This window comes from Homo sapiens, chromosome 5, assembly GCF_000001405.40.
Source record: "Homo sapiens chromosome 5, GRCh38.p14 Primary Assembly".
NCBI classification, from domain to species: Eukaryota; Metazoa; Chordata; class Mammalia; order Primates; family Hominidae; genus Homo; species Homo sapiens.
Genome location: NC_000005.10, coordinates 173,852,973 through 173,872,404, shown reverse-complemented (window position 1 = coordinate 173,872,404; position 19,432 = coordinate 173,852,973). Strand labels below are relative to the sequence as shown.

Genomic DNA, 19,432 nt, shown 5'->3' with positions numbered 1-19,432 from the left:
GGTCAGAGAGCAAACTGAGTTTCTAGTGCCGAGCAGCTGGGGCCAGGAGCCAGAACCCTCATTAGAGGAAGCTGCTACTATTTCCAGGCTGTGTCTATTCAGTGAAAGCAGGTCATTACAAACACAGCACGTTTTTGCATATTAACCAAATTAAAATAATAATATGTTCTCTCCTTTCATGTGCTATACTGATAAATCCCAATTTATGAATGAAACATGCTGATTAGTTAGTTAAAAAATAATTAGTCCCAGAATGTGCCTCTAAGTTGGAGACTTAATGAATGCACACAAATACGTTCTTCCAAGTTCTCAGCAGATTAGTCTTTTAAAGGAAAATATTCATAAGATGCATTCATGAGAGACAAATGATGAAGTAGCCTGATTTTATTTTTCTTTCTTTCTCCCAGTGTGGGATAATATTTGGATGTTATTTAGGGCCTTGTCAGGCTGAGTCACCTTAGAAAAACGGGTCCAAGTAATGGTCCTCATCCTTGATTAGGTTCTGATGTTCAGATGTCAAAAGAGAGGTCTCAGCTCGGTAGCTCCTTCGTGCCCTGGAGAGAGCTTTCCAGCTCTGTTATGGAGCCTTCATTTCTGGGAGCCAAAAATTAACCACAGAAAGACCAGGGTGGTGGAAAGCCAAGGGATGGCATCCACAACACCAGAGTGTGGTCTTTTTGGTCTTCATCATGTTCCCATAGCTGAGAAAACCACTATTGGCTTTCAGATAATATCTGGTTGCTTTGGCCACTGAAAATCAGAAGATACTTGGCATTCCAAGCACAAAGGGGCACAAAGATGGCTGCCAAGGCAAGGGTCTTTAACCCACAGACCAGCTGGCCATTCCTAACCTGGAGGCTGCCCTGGGCATAATTGCACCTTCCTGGGGCCAGTACATTCCAAAGACAACACGGACTGCATTGATATTGTAAAAATCATCTTCAACAATTTCCTAACTTGTCTATCAATGTGCATGATACAGGAAGAGTGATTGTTTAATGTCCATGGTTGGACCAGATACATCACTGTTTCTTTGATTGAGCCCAAGTAAAGTAGGGGGCTTGCATTTAGGAACTTTGTTGTATGGAAATCATGTGGACACCTAGACATATTGGCCATGAGAGGCCCAAAGGAACTGAGAGGAGTGAAGGCAACCTTTTTAGATTCAGGCTCTGCCCCACGTTTACTCCATGGCATAGATCATGATGAGAAGAATGGCCCATGTTCTTAAAATTTCCTTTCCCACCACCCCCGCAAATGTGTATAGCAAAATTCACGTAAGTTAAATGGCCGTACTCTCCTCTAGGATTTGAGATAAGAGAATGAGATTTGGGGTCAGAAAGGCCTGGCTGTACAAACTGTTACCTTATTTCTCTGAGTTTCAACATGCATATCTGTAACTCTGGGGTAATACTAATACCTGTCTAACACGCTCTCTGTGCCTGGGACTGCTCTAGGTTCCTCACTCATACAATATAGACAATTTAGCTAGCCCTGATGGGAAGGATAGAATAATATAATCTGCGTAAAGTTCTGGCACATCTCAGACTGCAATAAATGGTAGCTATCTTATTGCCTCCCTGCTGCTCTTCAGCCTCACCCTCTATGCCCCCCTACCACACATTTTCCACTTCATTCATTGACTCATTATTCTTTTATTAATTCAACAGATACCTACTGACCACTCTGGGCCTCCGAGGGATCAGCGATGGAGAGGTCCTGATAGTTCCCCTAATGGACTTTCTCTCCTGCCTCTCTGCCTTTACTGTTCCCTTGGCCCGAAACTGCCACATCTCAAATATGCCTGCCTCACAAACATGCCCTTTACACCTCAGCTCAGTCTTCACCTCCTCCATGAAGCTTTCTCTTATTCTACCATGAGCTGATAGTCACCAAATCCCATGTAAAGGCTGGAGTCCATTCCAATGGGTCATGGAATCATTCTATCTGGTCAGTCAGTACCAGTGGTAACATATCGTGAAAATCCCCTCTGATCCCACCTGCCCCCTCCCCACTCTATGTATATTTCCTTTGCTCTATTAGTGTCTTGTCTTGTCTTTTTTTTTTTTTTTTTTTTTTTGAGACAGAGTCTTGCTCTGTCACCCGGGCTGGAGTGCAATGTGATTTCCACTCACTGCAACTTCTGCCTCCCGGGTTCAAGTGATTCTCCCACTTCAGCCTCCCAAGTAGCTGGGATTACAGGTGTCCGCCACCATGCCTGGCTAATTTTTATATTTTTAGTAGAGACAGGATTTCACTATGTTGGTCAGGCTGGTCTCGAACTCCTGATAACTCAGGTGAGCCACTCGCCTCGGCCTCCTAGAGTGCTGGGATTACAGGCGTGAGCCACCACACCTGGCCTTATTCTGTATTTTCATTATTGGCTTTTCTTGTCTGTCTCCCCTACCTGACTGTAGGGCTCTGGAGGAAGGTTTGAATAGCTCATCTCTGTAGCTACTGAAGGGTAGCTGGCCAGGGCTGGCCACTGAAAGGTATCAAAAACGAAAAGGGGAAAAGGAGAAGATGGGTGGAAAATGAGAAACATGGGGGAAACAGAGCCGGGGTATTTTCAGCCCATGAAGAAGGGGCCACAGGCTATAAATCTGTCTTTATAAACAACCCCCCAGCCATCTGCCCCCAAAACTTTGGCACAAGAAGTCTCTGCCTTTTCTATAAAAAATTCAGCTCATATGAAAATTGTATATACATGTTGAGTATTATCTGGGCTTTGCATTTAGAAAAGAAAAAAAAAACTTTTGCTCTTGCCTGTGTCTGTTTCTTTGTCCAGCCCTTTGAGGCTCTGGTCTGTGAGTGTCTGTGCCAGTGTGCATGGCTGAGAATGGATGCTTTATGTGCAAAGGAAACACGGCTTTGCTTTGGCTGGTTCTCTGAACTCAGCTGCCAGTCACAGGGCTGGCTGCCTCGATCCGCTTCAAGGAAGTCTCACGTTTGTATTTTAGCTCTGTATTGAGGAGGCCACTGCCTTTCCAGGGTGGCTTCTGGGACATCCCCTGAATCAGGAATGCCTGGGGGCCATGGAAGTCTCAAGTGCCAGGCTTACAGATCAAGGGCACAGTGCCCTTATATGTCTTTCCCCTTGGGAGGATATCTCTGGCAGTGAAAAGGAGTCAGGTAGACATGGGTGCAAATCTGACTTTCATTTCCCAGATGTGTGATCTTGTACAAGCTTCTTGACCTCTCTATGCCTCAGTTTCCTCATCTGAAAAATGGAGAGAGCAGAATTGCCACCTCAATAGAGCTGCAGTGCAGAATAGGTAAGATAATGCATATGATCACATTTTGGGCTCTGAAAGGTCACGTGCACATGTTGATTTATTATTAATGCAACGGGAGGTTAAAATTGAAGTTTTACCTGAGGAACTAAGGTATGACAGCTGCTACAAGCCACAGGTGGGCTGAGGCCAGCCCAAGAGTGCAGGATTTACAAAAGTAAAATGCAAAAACCAGTTGCACATTTATCAAAGCTTGCCACCCCTTTGGAAGACAGAAAAGGGTTGGGTTTTGGAAATTTAGGAAAGATTTTGTGAAGACTTCTTTGGAAAAGGAGTCTGTGCCTTCAGCCTTAGCCCTAGTTCCTAGTGACTCCCAGAGAGCTTGTTTTGTGTGCCTTGCAACTGGGGGATTGTGGTGGGCTGGGGTCTGACTCATGCTTAAGGAAGCTGTAGTTGGTGGTAGCAGAGGAGAGGAAGTAGGGACATGGCCTACAATGGTTGGGCAACGATAGATGAGGCGGAGGGCAGGGGAAGGGGGTATTACATTCCTAGTAGGAATGTCAGCCTGGGGTCATTGTGAAAGGGATTCTGTCCAGAAGAAAGTACCTGGAGAGGCCAAGAAGGGGAATGGCGAGTTACTGGGCAAACAAAAAGCTCACCTGCATCGAGGCAGTTATAATCATTGGTGGGGCAGCAGGGCTGTCCCCAAATAACCTATAGAGCATTCAGGAGGGAAACTGTCAACTTAAAACATCTATCAGACTCAGAGAGGACAAAGCCAGTCTTTGACAGTACCGTCCAATTAAGAACTTCCTTATCCCCTTTACCTCCCTTCTCTATCCCCACGTGATTCTTGGAAGCACCAGAAAATAGGTTAGCAAGCTAGTGGAGGAGCAGAAAAGCCAGACCCACAGGTTTCTGTTGGCAGCAGGCCTTAGGGGAAAGAGGGAAGAAAATGTAAATAATGAATTGAAGCAACGTCCCTGATTTAAAGCAACCACAGGATGTTTTATTACTTAACAATGATTAGAAAACTCAAGGATCTGTCCATATTCTCATTCTGGGGCAAAGAATGGACTGAACACAATGAAGAGTTCTAAAGAGAAATGGGAGACAAAAATAAAGTTGCTTTAATGAGTCCTGCTTATTCAATGTATTGGATACATTATTACTTATCTAGCACTAACCATGTGCTAAACACTGTACAAAGCACTTTATGTTTTCAAAATAAGCCATGGAGATGGATGCTATTATAATTTCATTTTGCAAAGGAAGAAATTCAGAAGGGTTAGATAACCTGAGTTGGGTTTCAGGGAGGGTGGGCAGGAGCCAGGATTGGGGTCAGGCAGTGAGGCCCCAGAACTGGCCACCCTATCACTTTCCCTCTGCGGTGTCTCAGTTGGCAGATCAGACAAGGTATTTGGGGAAGGACTAAAGTTGTGCCTCATGCCTCCAAGTGCACTAAGCTAAAAATATTTCAGGAGTTCATGGGACTTTTCACCAATCCTTTTGGGAAAGGATTTCAGGGAGACATGCTGTTTGGGCTAGAATGACTTGGTTTTAAATATGAAGACCCACTCCAGCTAGCTTAAGGAAAAAGAAGAACATTATCATAAGGATACTGGGATGTATTCGGGAAGCCTGTCACCACTCTCTCTGCCTCCATTCTTCTTGCTCATTCTCCTCCTTCTTTTCCCATTGCACACCCTGAAGTCCATTTTGCAGAGCAGGACTGCCCCAGTTTCCCAGTTAAGGGAACTTCAGTTCTAGTTCGAGGGAGACCAGTTGGCTGAATCCTGACTTGAAGTATAGAGCATGATTCAGTTAAATACATACTGAGCAACTGCTAGGTTATGGGTTTTATTTTAGGCATTTAAGATATAGCAGTGCACAAAATAGATAAAAAGGGCGGGGAGGAACAAACACCAAAACAAAAAATCCTGCCCTCGAGGTGTTGAGAGGTGGGTGTTCCCACTGGAAGAGTGGGGTTCTGATTGGTCTTTCTTGGTCAGCTGACCTCTTCTCCTGGCTCAATCATCTGTGCCCAGGGGTGGGGCCACAGGGTACCGCGGAAGTGGCTGTATGCCGGTACCTGCGACTGAGCTGGGATCGGAGTCCTGGGCCGCTTGTCCCTGAAACCGTCGGTCCGAGCCAGAAGACTTCACGCACAGTCCAATTGGTTCTAGCAAGCCTTCAGCCCCTGAACAGTGGTGGCGACCAGCTGCTAGATCCTACTGACGTTCTCTCTCGGGTGGGCCCCCACTCATTAGCCTTGCCCCAGTATGTTTCATACTGGGTTTGACACACAATTGTCCTTTATCTCACCCCCTTTTGTGTTGGATGAAGCTAAACCTTATTTTACCCGTTGCTTTTTGCTCTTCTTTCCTTCCTGATGAGCCTTTTAAAGGAGGAAATGGGGAAGTCTCCCCCTGGCCTGGTGCGGGCAGCAGCTGAGGCGGAGCCTGGGGGTGACAGAGCACACAGAGAGAGGACAGACTATCCCGGAACTATTGTCCCCCAGATGGTCTCCTCTGAGGCAGTGACACTGCTTTGTACAGCTGGGCCTGGCTGCGGGAGCTGGCTGAAAGGGCCTTGTCAGAGTGCCCTCAGCCTTCCTTGTCTGGCTGGCTGGGATTGGCGAGGACCTGGACAGCCAGGGTCCTCGCCTGCTTCCTGTTTGATGGGCACTGCGATCGACGTTGGTAAAGCCAGCTGCTGCTTTTCAATTGGCCGGGTTCTGGGCCTCCCCGCCTTCCAACCATTTCTACAGCGTTTTTTTTTTTTTTTTCGTTCCTTTTTTCTTCTTTTTTTAAAACATGAGCACTGCACATTCAGTAATGCAATAGATTGCATCAGATGCTGCATTTGCCAGCCTCAGCACCGAGCTACACTCCTCACTGCTGCAGCAAGGATGCAAACCTGGTTTATGTTAGAATGGGGTTCACGGTGCAGAATCCCTAGACAGGTTTCTGTGGGATTCCTGTTTTGTCAATTGAGCAGCATGCTACTCTGTCTTTTCTTGGTGGTTAAGAGCATGAAATTCTGAATGGAGAGACCAAGATTCAATCCTGCTAGGGCCGCTTTCTATATGTATGACCCTAGCCATGTTACTTAAACCTAGGTGCCCCAGTTTCTCACGTAAAGTGAAGTTAATAATGGTTTCCTCTATGCATCATTGTGAGTTGAAATCGGGATAAGATACATAAAGTGCTTATCATGGTTCCTGGCACAGAGTACCCACCCAACACACAGCAGCCATTGTTAATATATTTGTTGCAGCTCTCCTTGAATTCTGTCCCCCAACATAATCTCCCACTAGCTGGGATTGTGGAGGGGCCGGATAGACAGGGTCCTCGCCTGCTTCCTGTTTCATGGGCACTGTGATGGGCTTTGGTAATGTCAGCTGCTTCTGGCCATAATGGGAGCATGCTGAAACCAGGCTTTGTAGTAAGACAGACCTGCAAATTTGTGACAATCACACATACCTCTAGGGTTATGAGAATTAAATGAAATAATGGGTATAATCATAATACATGTATAGAAGCACTTTACACATCTTATTCACTTAATCCTCCCAGCAGCTCTAAGATGTAGGTAATATTATTATGTGTATTTTACCCATAGGGAAACGAAGACATTAACGAGGGTGCTAAGTAACTGGTTCAGGCTACAAGCTAGTAAGTGAATACAGGAAGAAGTGGGTAGGGCAAGCATGCCTATTCACTGTACCAGTTGCCACCCTCTACCTTACTGCCTGAAGCGCCTGGCGCCTAGTAGGAGTTCCAAAAGTGTGAATAACATTTCTATACATTGCAGGTATATAAATGACAAGGCTACAGAGCAGAGTGGATGTTTGGGACAATATCCATGGGAATCATTAGGGAGTAAAGTCAAGCCAATGATATGATCTAATGAAGTTAAGAGCACCTACTCGGTGCCAGACGCTCTCCTAGAAGACTGGCATTGTGTAATTCAAATTAATCCTGAGATCATGGTGTGTGGTAGATGAATGGGTCCCTTTAGTTAATGTGAATTCTGTCCACACACATCTCTGAGCTTCCTGATTTCAGATTATGCCAGAAAAAATCACTTTTCCTAAGGACTGGGAGGAAAAGTGACTCTTATAGCAGGCCCAAATTGAACAGCAAACAGGATGTGCAAAGATTTGGAAGGACAACCTTGTCACGGCCAAATTTCCAGCCTTATTTTCCACTGGTCCAGAAAAATATATGCACAGTGCAAAGCAGTCTCCAGGCTGAGAACCTGGAGGTGTCAGTCAGGGGCTGGGAGGAAACAGATGGCATGCTCAAATTAGGCAATTTGAGGAACGTTTAATAAAGGAGCTATTTACAAAGGTATGGGGAACCCACAAGATACGGTGCAGTTTTCTGGGGCTGGTAAAAGCTGAGTGCTGTCACCTCTCCTAGGTCTGAGGGGACAGGAGACAGAGTGCTGACCTGGACCCTGAGACAGAAAGCCTGGTGTGCAGGACCTGTGGCCTTTGGTGGAGGGACTCAGCCAACCCATAGTGGCCCAGCAAGTGGAGGCAGGGGAATGAATACTCCAACCTCACTTTCCGTCTCCTGCCCCGCCCCTGCTGTTTGAGCCCAACCAGGAACCAGAGAGCAAACAGGCATCGTTGATTCCGGTCACTGAAATCAGCTCCCAGAATCACAGAGCAGGGTGCAACAGGCTAGACTGTGGGTCTAGAGAGGCAAAGGGAAGATTTCTGAAACCCCGGTTCTCAACTGGAACCCTAGAGAGGCTGTTGTCCCCCAGGACTGGAGATTTAAAGGAAAAGTCAAGTTTGGGATCCCAGTGATAGTGACCTGTTTCCGGGATTGCGGAGAGGAGTGGCAGGGCTAAGACTAGGTTTGGGCTGGCTGAGCTGGAAGGCTGACATGACCTCTAACCCTCTATATTAGGGATGTGGGCCCTTTACCTGTTCAAACTGAATTTAGTATTCAACCTAGGCTTTCTCTATGGCTATACTCTTAAATGCAACAGATAGCCAAAGGGAACTTTCCAAGATCAGGAGTGACTCTGATTGCAAATTCCTTCATGTCCTTCAAACCCTGCTTCATTTCTTCTGTGGCGTCTTCCCTGATGTTTGTGTATGCCTGTTCCACATACACAAATAAAATGAAAGCACAGATCTAAAATGTAGACTCCCCACAACGGTATGTTTTACTCATCTCCACGTGCCCAGAACCTGACACAAGGCTGACATATTGTAGAATACCAATAAATATTTGTTAAATCTTTATGTCTCTGTAGTCCTTAGCAGATTCCAATTTAGCCAGCATTTATTAAGCCCCCACTACATTCCAAGCACTGTATCACGCCATTTTCATATCAACTTGCTCATTTAGTATTCCTGACAACCCTGGTTATATTTTACTCATTTTTACAAATAAGGAAACTGAGGCTCAGAGAGATGAAAGTGGCAGACGTGAATTTGAAATAGAGTTCTGCTTCCCTGGTATAATGCTCTTTCCTTTCCTGCTCAGGAGCTGTCCCTTGATTGGCCACTGAACAGTTACTTTATCCATATGCATGAACTGGCTGCATGAATGAGCCCAGCAGAGCCTCTGCATGTGTGTGTATGCTTTGTGAATCTCTGAACCTATCAATTGATGGTGCTGGCCTGCTCACAGGGATCATCCCACTTTGATGGTTGCTGCCAAGCACTCATGGATATTCTCCCCTTCAAGTCTACGTTAAACCCATTGTTCAATATGAGATGGGGTCAGATGGATGCTGTGCTGAACTCACGTCTAAATTGGATGCAGGGGTCTGGATCCTGCTTGTTCCTATTAATTCAACACACATATTTCATACAGTTTCCTCTGTTGAACAGTAAAAACATAAAATTGTCAAGGGCCTACCCTTTCGTTGTTCTAAAATGGAGCTGCCAAAATTCTAATTGGCCAATAAAATGTACCTGCCATAGAAGAGCCCCAAACATACCCCACTTAGCAAAAAGAGAACAAGAAGTAAAAGTTGATCCTTATTATATAGATTCCATATGCCCTGAGCTTGCATACAGTGCTATCCATCCTCATAACAGCTCTGAAGATAGAAGCTATTGTTAGTTGTATTTTTTCTTTTTTTTTTTTTGAGACAGTCTCACTCTGTCACCCAGACTGGAGTACAGTGGTGCAATCCCAGCTCACTGCAACCTCTGCTTCCTGGGTTCAAGCAATTCTTGTGCCTCAGCCTCCTGAGTAGCTGGGGTTACAGGCACCTACCACCACACCCAGCTGAGTTTTGTATTTTAGTAGAGACGGGGTTTCACCATGTTGGCCATGCTGGTCTGGAACTCTGACCTCAGGTGATCCACCCGCTTCAGCCCCCCAAAAGGCTGGGATTACAGGCGTGAGCCACTGCACCTGGCCTTAGTTGTATTTTATAGGTGATGGGTCTGAGGCTTCAGGACACTGGGGGACATTTTTCCAAAAGTCACATAGCTTGGAGGTGGCAAAGCCAGGACGCAGGGCAGACCCGAATGTCTGGCTGTTGCCCACAGATGGGACTAGCCAAGGGGTGCTTTCTACTGCTTCTAAGCCATTGGCCTCAATCACAGATAGTGTCATCTCCATTCTTTCCCATCACCTTCTGCCCTATTTTGCTGAGGATTCAGGGCAGATTCAGATCTGGCCTAGAAAAACATCCTCCTGACCCCTCAGAGAGAGGGAGAGACACAGGAATGTGTTTCTAGGCTGTTCTGCAGAACCTAAGGTACTTTCATGAGAAGCATTTCTCCTTCCTGTTAGTCCTCAGGACTCTTTATCTGCCCCTTTGTATGGCCTTATCACAGGCTGCCTCACTTATTTCTGCCTATCTCCCTTTGTAGGCAGGAACCTATTCAAGGGCAGGGCCTGTGTCTGACTCTTCTCCTCTTCCTTCCCACCTGAAGTCTCAACGTTCATCAAACATTTACCGAGAACCAATTTTGCGTCAAGCTCCATGTCAGATACTTGCACAACTGTGGCTATGTTTTCTATTTGTGGCAACCCATGAGGAGTAGATTGTAGGATTTGCCCATTTTACAGACGAGGATGCTGAGGCTGGGAGGAGTGAAAGAACTTGCCTAAGGCCCCAGAGCTGGTATCTGATCACAGGCCTATTTTGCTCCGCTGTGATGGTCTTCCTGCAACATCGTACTGCTAAGTAGGTGCTCAGCAAAAGCTCGTTGACTGAAAAAGGAAGGCAGCAAGAAAGAGAAGAAGGCAAACTATTGAACAAATTTCAAAGACAAGAAAATAAAAGGAAGTAATTGAATATTTCAAAGCAGTAAATTGGTGGAGGATTAGAGAAATGGGTTTAGGGTGTAACTTCTTCTCTTCTAAGGTCACAAAAAGAAGAGCACCTACCCAAGATCAGAAAACAAGCAAGGTGGCAGCAGCTGGAGTGTTAGCTACAGAGTGGATCTTTCACTGGGCTTTCTGTGAGGATGGAAATACTCAGATGGCCATCACAACATGAGGTTGGACCGTGTAGCATGTGTGCTCTGTGTGGAAACATCAATATCCTTTTCAGGGAATGTGCATAATTTATATACACGGTATATGCATATACTTATATGTGCAGTGAAGTCAGAGAACTCACTGCCCTTGGTGTTAAATGACCAAGGTTCAGATTTCAGGTTAGTTATTTCCAAGCTGCCCAGTACTTGGTGAAACCTCTCATCTCTCTTAACCTTAGTTTTCTCGAAATCTGTAACATGGTATGAGCAGATTTCTCACTGCATAGAGGGTTAGTAAAGTGGTGAATATTTGCGCTGAATAGGGGCTTAGTTCAATGTTGCCCACATCATTCTAATATCTAACTTATTTATTTCAAATGCAGAAAGGTAAAATAGGCCTCTCTGCTACCAGCTTCCCCTCCCCACCTGTGTTATCACCTGGAAGCAGTTCCAGAGAAGTGGGGGACACCACAGACTCTGGAGCGAGACTGCTTCACCATTTCCAAGCTGGGTGACCTAAGGAGGCAATTTACCTAACCTCCCTTTGCCTCAGTTTTTCCACCTATAACGTGGGAATAATTATAGGAACTCCATCTTAGAGTTCTTAAGAAGAGTTCCAAGGTTCCAGGGTTCCAAGCTTTCTTGGAACCCTGCCTGGCACATAGCAAGTGTTCAGAAAATGTAAGTTATTACAGCATTGTTATTATTTTTGTATGCTGAGTGCTTTCTTGTGGCTGCGTTTCAAGGGTTGCATTGGCCCCCACCCCCATCATATTCCAGCTGCCAAGCCGGGGAACCCAGATCTGTAGGGCAGCGAGGAGAGAGGGTTGTTGTCTTTCAGTGATGTCAGGGGAGCTCCTTATCAATAATTGAACAGTTTTTCCAGGAACCCAATCTAGAGCATGCAGTGCCCTGGCTGCAGCAGGGCCTGGCTGGCTGGCGTCCCCGGAAGGCTCTGGGCAGAGGGAATTGTTATCTTGGTGCTGGTCCTGCCTGCTCTGTGGGGGAAGGGATCTTGTTGCTGGTGGCACGGCTTCTGTTGGAGGGTGGGACTCAAGACTCAAGCCTGGGGCAGCGTTCTTAATCTTCACCCAGGCCCTCCTGCACTGTCCTGCTCCAACAGTCCTTAGACTAGCCTTATTCTTCACCCAGTTTGCTCAAGCCAGGAGCCTGGAAGTCATTCTGAACACCTCCCCTCCCTCGCTGCTCACTTTTAAGCTGTCGACAACTCTGCATTATTTTGCTTTTAAACATGTCCCAAATTTGCCCCATTCTTCCTTTCTCATTGCCACTGCCCTCATTCAGCTATGTCTGGGCTTCTACAGCACTCCACTGGCTTCCCAGGTCCCCACCCTGCAACCTTTCCCCACTCCCCTCTTTCTAAAACACACACACACACACACACACACACACACACACACACAGAGAGAGAGAGAGAGAGAGAGAGAGAGAGAGAGAGAGAGAGAAATCTTTCTAAAATGCAAATCCGGTCATGTCACCTCCATGCCTAAACCCTTCAATGCCTCTGTGTTGCCCTTAGGGAAATATATTCAACCCCTTTATGTGATCCTCAAGATCTGTTGCCAACCTCTGTCCAACTTCATCCTGAGCCCTTCTGGTCTTCATTTGTGACCTTCTGGCCATATTGCCCTGTGTTATTCCCTGTCCCGGGTAAGCTACATCTCACCTCTGGGCCCTTACCCTTCTTGTTCTCCCTGCCATGACTGGCTCCTACACATCTTGAAGTTCTCAGATAATGTCACCTCCTCGTAGAAGCTTTTCCTGATCCTCCTGTCTAAAGCAGTGACCACATACCCCACCCTTTTCCCCTGCCCCAGCCCTTGAATATTTCCACCATGAGATAATCCCAACAACAATACCCTTGTCAACCTACCAGCTTTCTTATTTATCATCTGTCTCTTGCACTAGAAGGTGAGCCCCTTGGGGACACACAGATCCTGCCTGACTTGCTCATAGCTACATCCTCAGGACATCCAGTAGACCCTGGTGTCTGGCAGGTGGGCAGCAAATATTTATTCATTGGGCAAATGCAAGCAGGGAGGTTGTGTGGTGGACTGGGGTGAGTGCTGGGCTTGGTTCCCCAGCTCTGTTACCTGTTCCCTGTGTGCAATGAAGTATGTCATCATCGTAACTCTCTGAAGATTGCAGCTGGAGTCAGGAGATCTTGGGTCTAGTCAGACTCTGCCACTTCCCTGCTGTGTGAGCTTGGGCAGCTAAACTTATCTCTCTGAGCCTCCTTTATTCCTCATCTGTCAAATGAGGATCGTACTGCCTCCCTCGCAGAAGAGCTGTCAAGATTCCATGAGGTGAAGAGTGTGGAATCCATGCATGTAGATGGAATCTGGCACATTTGGGGGTCTGCCAAATCCCACCAGCTTCTTGCACTGAGTGGGGCAGACAGATCCTATATTCACCCCACAGAAGTCACAGCCAAAGAGGCTGAAAAGCAAACATCCAGCCAAGAGCCTGGTTAGACAGCACCTCACTCCAAAGGAACCAAGCCAAAGCAACAGCACCCAGAGTGTTTGCTTCCTCCTTTCGGGGAAGGAGGGCTCCCTCTAAATTTCACTGTATTTCCCTTTGGGAAGGGGCTGCCAAGGAGCTCAGAGAGACCTTGGACACTCAACCACAAGCTTTTCTTCTGCAGTGGGAGGGCCCATTATGCCAACTGGATAACCTGATGGATTATTTATGGTATACAATTGGCCTTACAGGGCCCCTCTGCTGAGAAAGCCACAAGGACAATAGGTCAAATGGCTTTGCAGTGGTAACATTTGCTTTGATTGCAAGACTTTATCATAACATTGGCTGGAAAAGATGATAAAAAAGATTAGAAAATGCGTAAGATGTTTTGCACCAATGTCAGAGCTGGTGGTGATAAGGAAGATGCCACGTGATTCTACACTGTAGGAGCTGGTGACTTTAGGTTTTATGGTTATGAACTCCCAGCTATAAAAACACCTTTACTGTTGGGACTCCTACAGGAAAAATTATTTCTGTTATTGTGACTGTAAAGCTCTCTAGTATAAACTTCCCCCTTTTTTGGATCCCATTGCAACAATTTATTTTACAACCGTGACCTAGAAGTCAGGGTTGCTCTGGCATTAGAGCCAGAAAGGGCCATCAATGCTTAGCAGATACGCTTCTGCCTGCTTGTCAGGGTGCTGTATTTAAGAAAAAATAATGTGAGGTAGGGCACTTAACACAGCACCTGCTGTACAGCAAACCCTATAAACATTAGCTGCTATTATTCCTACTCCTGTTTTATTAACAGTAATATATATACGTGCACTCTGTAGCCTCAGATCCTTTTTTGGAATGAAGTCAGTAGTAAAGAAATTCTAGGAGTCTGGAATGTGTTCTAACAGCCCAGATGAAGTGAATTCGGTTCCAGTGTAGGTGACCCTTAAACTGTCATCCTATATCCATCCAGATGACACCTAGTTATCTCTCATTCCTAAGGCTGACCCAGATAAGAAACTCCTGATTAAGCGGAAGGAGGGAACTCACATAAAGTAAACACCTGTCAGCTACCTCCAAACATCTTATTGCATTTAAGTCTCATGGCAATCTGGAGAAGGGCTGGTTTTCTTCAACTTACAGATAGAGAAACTGAGTCTCAGCACAATTTAGTTACTCACAAGAGGACGACAGCTAGAAAGCAGCCAGGCTGACTTGAACTCAGGTCTTGATGCCTCTAAAGGCTGAAATTCTCTACTGTCAGAAATGGATTCTCAGGTCTTGGCTACTGACTTACAATCCTGTAGCAAGTCTGAGCTTGCGAAGTTTGCGTTTGTTTAAAAAGTGACATCCTTAGTCCTGGCCAACATGGTGAAACCCCATCTCTACTAAAAATTAAAAAATTAGCTGGGTGTGGTGGTGCACACCTGTAGTCCCAGCTACTCAGGAGGCTGAGGCAGGAGAATTGCTTGAACCAGGGAGGCAGTGGTTGCAGTGAGCCGAGATCGCGCCATTGCCCTCCAGCCTGGGGACAGAGCAAGACTCCGTCTCAAAAAAAAAAAAAAAAAAAAAATAGTGTCATCCTTAGCTGCAATGTATTTTCCAGTGTCCCTTCCCCATTTTAAGGGCAGCCCTGCACCAGGCCTTTAACTTCTCTGCCTTAACTGGTCAGCCTTCTCATCTGTAACCCAAACCACAGCCAAAGCAGAATCCAGTCAGAGTAAGTTATCTGCTGTCAGGGCTGCTTAAATATTTCATGGTGGCCTGGATCGCTCTGCTCTGGGGGCAGGCAAGGCAGCTAATGGATCAGCCACAGGCACCAGATGTCCAGGGGATGGGGATAGATGGGCTAGAGGAGGAAGCCGGCAGACGATAGATGCTCAGGCTAAGCATCTTGTTAAGGATGAAGCTGTGTGTTTGTAAGGGGTCAAATTTTAAAATGCTGGACTTAGATGGGCCCTTGAACCTGGACTTAGAGGAAAGGCTGCTTTAGTGTTTTTATGGCCTTTATATCAGCCCTTGCATGATCTTCTAAGAAACACACACACACACACACACCCTCTGAGGAAAATGGCTGAGTGCCTCAATCTGCAGATTGGTAAATTGAGGCTCACAGAATTGAAACAGCTGACAGGTTTGACTCACATGAAGGGATTGGAGAAATCATACGGGCTGGACGTGGTGGCTCATGCCTGTAATCCCAACACTTTGGGAAGCAGAGGCGGGAGGATGGACTGAGCCCAGGAGTTCGAGATGAGCCTGGGCAACATAGGGAGATGCTCTAGTTCACCTTGGAAGTAACGACAACTTTCAGTTTACTATGTCTCTATCTAAAAAGAAGTAACAGGTTACTGGAAAGATCCTGGAACCGGGAGAGAGAGGAAAGCTGGGTTCTCTTCCCGTGTCTTCCAACTACTGCCTATGACCAGATCACTTTCCCTGTCTGAGCCTAAATTTCTAATTTCTGAGGAATTCTTGGGATCCATGGTGCCATCACCATCATAACTACTGCCCCCCACCCCCAATCCCGCAGCAGATTAGGTAGGGGCTACTGGCAGAGAAAGCAAGAAGGTGGAGCAGAGGGATGATAAGGCCATCCCAATTCTGTGCCCAGGATTTTGGCCTGGAGAACACAGCCATCAATTCAATCCTGAGCTGAGCAATGGAATGCAGGGCAGGCAGCTCCCACTTTGGGAGACAGAGGTGGGAGGATCACTTGTGCCCAGGAGTTTGAGATCAGCCTGGGCAAAATAAGGAGACCTGCTCTGTACAAAAACAATTAAAAGTCACCCTGGTTTGGTGGTATGTGCCTGTAGTCCCAGCTACTCATGAGGCTGAGGCAGGAGGATTGTCTCCTTTTTAAGAGTTCACCTGCAAAGAGAGAATGCTGATGCTTAGGGGGAAATGGCATCTGTGAGCTAAGGAGCAGGGCCTAGCTAGGGAAACAAGGAGCCTGAATCCTAAAACAGGGAGGTAAAGAGTTCTGAAAGGTGGCATCTAGCAAGATGTAAAATGCTTGGGTTTAAAATGCCAGCTCTCTACATCTTGATCACTCAGAGATGATTTATTGAGTGTCTACTATATGGCAGGCACTGAGCTAAGTCCTGGAGTCCTGGAGTGAATAAGACAGGCATGTCCCTGCTGTCTTGGGGCTTATGTTCTGGTGTGGGGGAATCAAGTGCTGTCCTTAAACCAGACGAGTTTAATGAATCCCAAGGGCTCTGCGGGAAACAGAACAGAACGAGATGGAGTGACTGGCGGGAGCACATCCAACAGGGAGGTGACAGGAGTGACCTCTGAGTTGGGCCTGAAGAATGAGGCGGAGCCAGCCAGGGGGAGAGGGTCAAGCAGAAAAACAGTGAGAGGAAAGCCCTGAGGCTGCCCGTAAATGAGGAGGCCTTCAGCTGCAAGTCACAGAAAACCCCGACTCAAGGTGGCTTCTACGATAAGCACATTTTTATCTCACTGAGCTGGGAGTTCTCAAGTAAAAGGTGGAAAATGGGGAACACAGCACTGCTGCACCACATCATCAGGGCCTGGTTTCCTTCTGTGTCTCTGCCCATCCCAAGGCTGGGTCCCTTCATGGTGCCTGTAGTGCCAGGCACATCCAGACACAACTGTCTAGCGAAACAAAGAAAACTTCTGTATCTTCTAAAAGAGAAGAAGCTTTCCCCAGGAGTCCCCAGTACACTTTTCCTTAGACCACAAGTGACTCACAAGCCCAGCCCGAACTACACAAGTGAGAGAAATGGTATTTTCCATGATTACATTGGGTATCTAATTGATATGGGGTAAGATAACCTATCTGGATCAATGGACGCTTCTATCAAATCAGAGTCCTGTTGGCCAGGAGGGAAAAAGGAAAGAGTGTTTACAAGGCAGCCCACAGGGCCCAGTACAAATAGGAACAAAATGGTGGTTAGAGGGAGGAAGAGAGGGCAAATGTAGAAAGAATCAGGTGTCGGCCAGTCGCAGTAGCTCACACCTGTAATCCCAGCACTTTGGGAGGCCTAGGCAGGCAGATCACCTGAGGTCAGGAGTTCAGGACCAGCCTGGCCAACATGGCGAAACCCCGTCTCTACAAAAATACAAAAAATAGCTGGGCATGATGGCGGGTGAGTGTAATCCCAGCTACTCAGGAGGCTGAGGCGGGAGAATCTCTTGAACCCAGGAGATGGAGGCTGCAGTGAGCCCAGAGCCTGGACAACAGCGAGACTAAAAAAAAAAAGAAAAAGGAGAGGAAGAAAGAAGAAAGAAAGAAAGAAAGAAAGAAAGAAAGAAAGAAAGAAAGAAAGAAAGAAAGAAAGAAAGAAAGAAAGAAGGAAGGAAGGAAGGAAGGAAGGAAGGAAGGAAGGAAGGAAGGAAGGAAGGAAGGAAAGAAAGAAAGAAAGAAAGAAAGAAAGAAAGAAAGAAAGAAAGAAAGAAAGAAAGAATCAGGCATCCTAGGCGGAGGTGAGGTCAGGGAAGTGGGCAGGGGACCACTGATTTGCTTGTGAACAGGCTGCATTACTCATCTGTGAAAAATGAAGCTGATAATAATATATTTCATAAATGTGCCAACAGTACATGATAAGGCTCACCATTGTGTAATGTGCCATCAAGAAAGAATAACAACTGTCAATTAAACTCTGACATGCCATCAATTGTAAAATATACTCTGATTTTTGAGATGTTAAAATGTGAAAAAGAAAACAAAAAGTGTGTGTGGTAGAACCATCGAAATCTGGTGGTAGCAACCTATGAGGCAGAGGCAGAACTGGGATTTCCCTGCAGGATCCCTCTTTCTGTTCTTCCTTTGTTGTTTGATATTTGTGTTTCTTCCAGTATGGTGAAATTGTTTCTGTAGTTTCTTAGGACCATATCTTGAGAGTGGAGCCAAGAGGTTTGACTCACATGATGGGATGGAAAAAGTCACTTGGGCCGGGTGCGGTGGCTCACACCGGTGATCTCAGCACTTTGGGAGACAGAGGTGGGAGGATCACTTGTGCCCAGGAGTTTGAGATCAGCCTGGGCAAAATAAGGAGACCTGCTCTGTACAAAAACAATTAAAAGTCACCCTGGCTTGGTGGCATGTGCCTATAGTCCCACCTACTAATGAGGCTGAGGCAGGAGGATTGTTTGAGCCCAGGAGGTCAAGGCTGCAGTGAGCTATGATTATGCACTACCCTCTAGTCTGGGTGACGGAGTGAAATCCTTTCTAAAAAAAAAAAAAGAAAAGGAAAAGAAAAAGAAAAGGAAAAAAAGGTCACGTGGTATAGCGTGAAAACAACATAAGTTTGAATTCCTCTTGGGCCCCCCAGCTTTGATGGGACTTTGGGCAAGGCTCAAAGTCCCTAAGCCTTCCCTGAGCCTCTTTCCTCTTCTCGCTCTCCTGGTTGCTGTGAGGATTCGCTGAAGTGGTGTGCAGGGGCCTTTTAGCTCCTACTCAACACACAGTAGGTGCTCTATCCGTTCCCTTCCTTGAAAGTGAGGAGAGATTGGAAAACAGCCCCGAGATAAAAATAACCTTTGTCTCAACTCTCCTTCAAAACCCACCTGCCCTAATGAAGCTCCATCTTGCATTTTGCCTTTGAGTCAACAGTTCCTAGAAATGGACACAACTTCTCAGTACTCTGCATGGTGGCTGAATCAGCTCCCACCAATCTATCACATGCAGCCGGACGTACTTGCCATTTCAGTCACACTCGCTAAGTGCTTCCATCTAAACCTCTTGAGGCTACAAGGTACCAAATGTTTTGAATTAATTGGCTTCTATTTTCCTTTCTGTACATGCGCCTCAGTGCCTTTTTAGGGTGAGATTGACTCACAGAGTCCTTCCTGAATTCTGGCAGCCCTGATTCTACTTGGAGTTAATTATCTCTAATATGCTGTACAATTCCCTCTGTACCTTTTATGACATGGAGTTGAGGCATAATTTATCCAAGTCTATCATTGGAGATTTTTTTTTTTTTTTTAGAAAAAAAGAATGATGTGTGTGCCTCGTAAGAAAATCCACTCAGCCCATTAATTGTTTATTCACTGGGTGTTTCTCGAGGACAATCCTCTTTGCCCAGCATTGTGCTATGTCCCTTATAATTCATGACCAAGTGATAGGCATGTCACAAGCCTAGCAGTCAGTATTCTTACTCCCATTTGGCCAGGGAAATACTTAGTTCGGAATGGAGAATGGCTTGCTGTAGTAGTTCTTCTCCATTTGCTCTCTCTGCCATCTCTTTGTGCTGGGGTCCTTGTCCTCTGGGCTTCCTGCTGG

General features: G+C 46.2%; 5 annotated features.

Annotated features, from left to right (window-relative positions):
• Positions 9,941-10,216: a transcriptional cis regulatory region, noted in NCBI's record as "candidate enhancer chr5.4562 targeted for multiplex CRISPR interference". NCBI's record gives its function as "positively regulates CPEB4 gene expression with high confidence in K562 cells {active_cell/tissue: K562}" and the evidence as "EXISTENCE:mutant phenotype evidence [ECO:0000015][PMID:30612741]".
• Positions 11,406-11,873: a transcriptional cis regulatory region, noted in NCBI's record as "candidate enhancer chr5.4561 targeted for multiplex CRISPR interference". NCBI's record gives its function as "positively regulates CPEB4 gene expression with high confidence in K562 cells {active_cell/tissue: K562}" and the evidence as "EXISTENCE:mutant phenotype evidence [ECO:0000015][PMID:30612741]".
• Positions 16,303-16,872: a transcriptional cis regulatory region, noted in NCBI's record as "candidate enhancer chr5.4559 targeted for multiplex CRISPR interference". NCBI's record gives its function as "positively regulates CPEB4 gene expression with high confidence in K562 cells {active_cell/tissue: K562}" and the evidence as "EXISTENCE:mutant phenotype evidence [ECO:0000015][PMID:30612741]".
• Positions 16,425-16,719: an enhancer, noted in NCBI's record as "tiled region #12084; K562 Activating DNase matched - State 5:Enh". NCBI's record gives its function as "activates a minimal TATA promoter and a strong SV40 promoter by Sharpr-MPRA in K562 cells {active_cell/tissue: K562}" and the evidence as "EXISTENCE:reporter gene assay evidence [ECO:0000049][PMID:27701403]".
• Positions 18,514-19,054: a transcriptional cis regulatory region, noted in NCBI's record as "candidate enhancer chr5.4558 targeted for multiplex CRISPR interference". NCBI's record gives its function as "positively regulates CPEB4 gene expression with high confidence in K562 cells {active_cell/tissue: K562}" and the evidence as "EXISTENCE:mutant phenotype evidence [ECO:0000015][PMID:30612741]".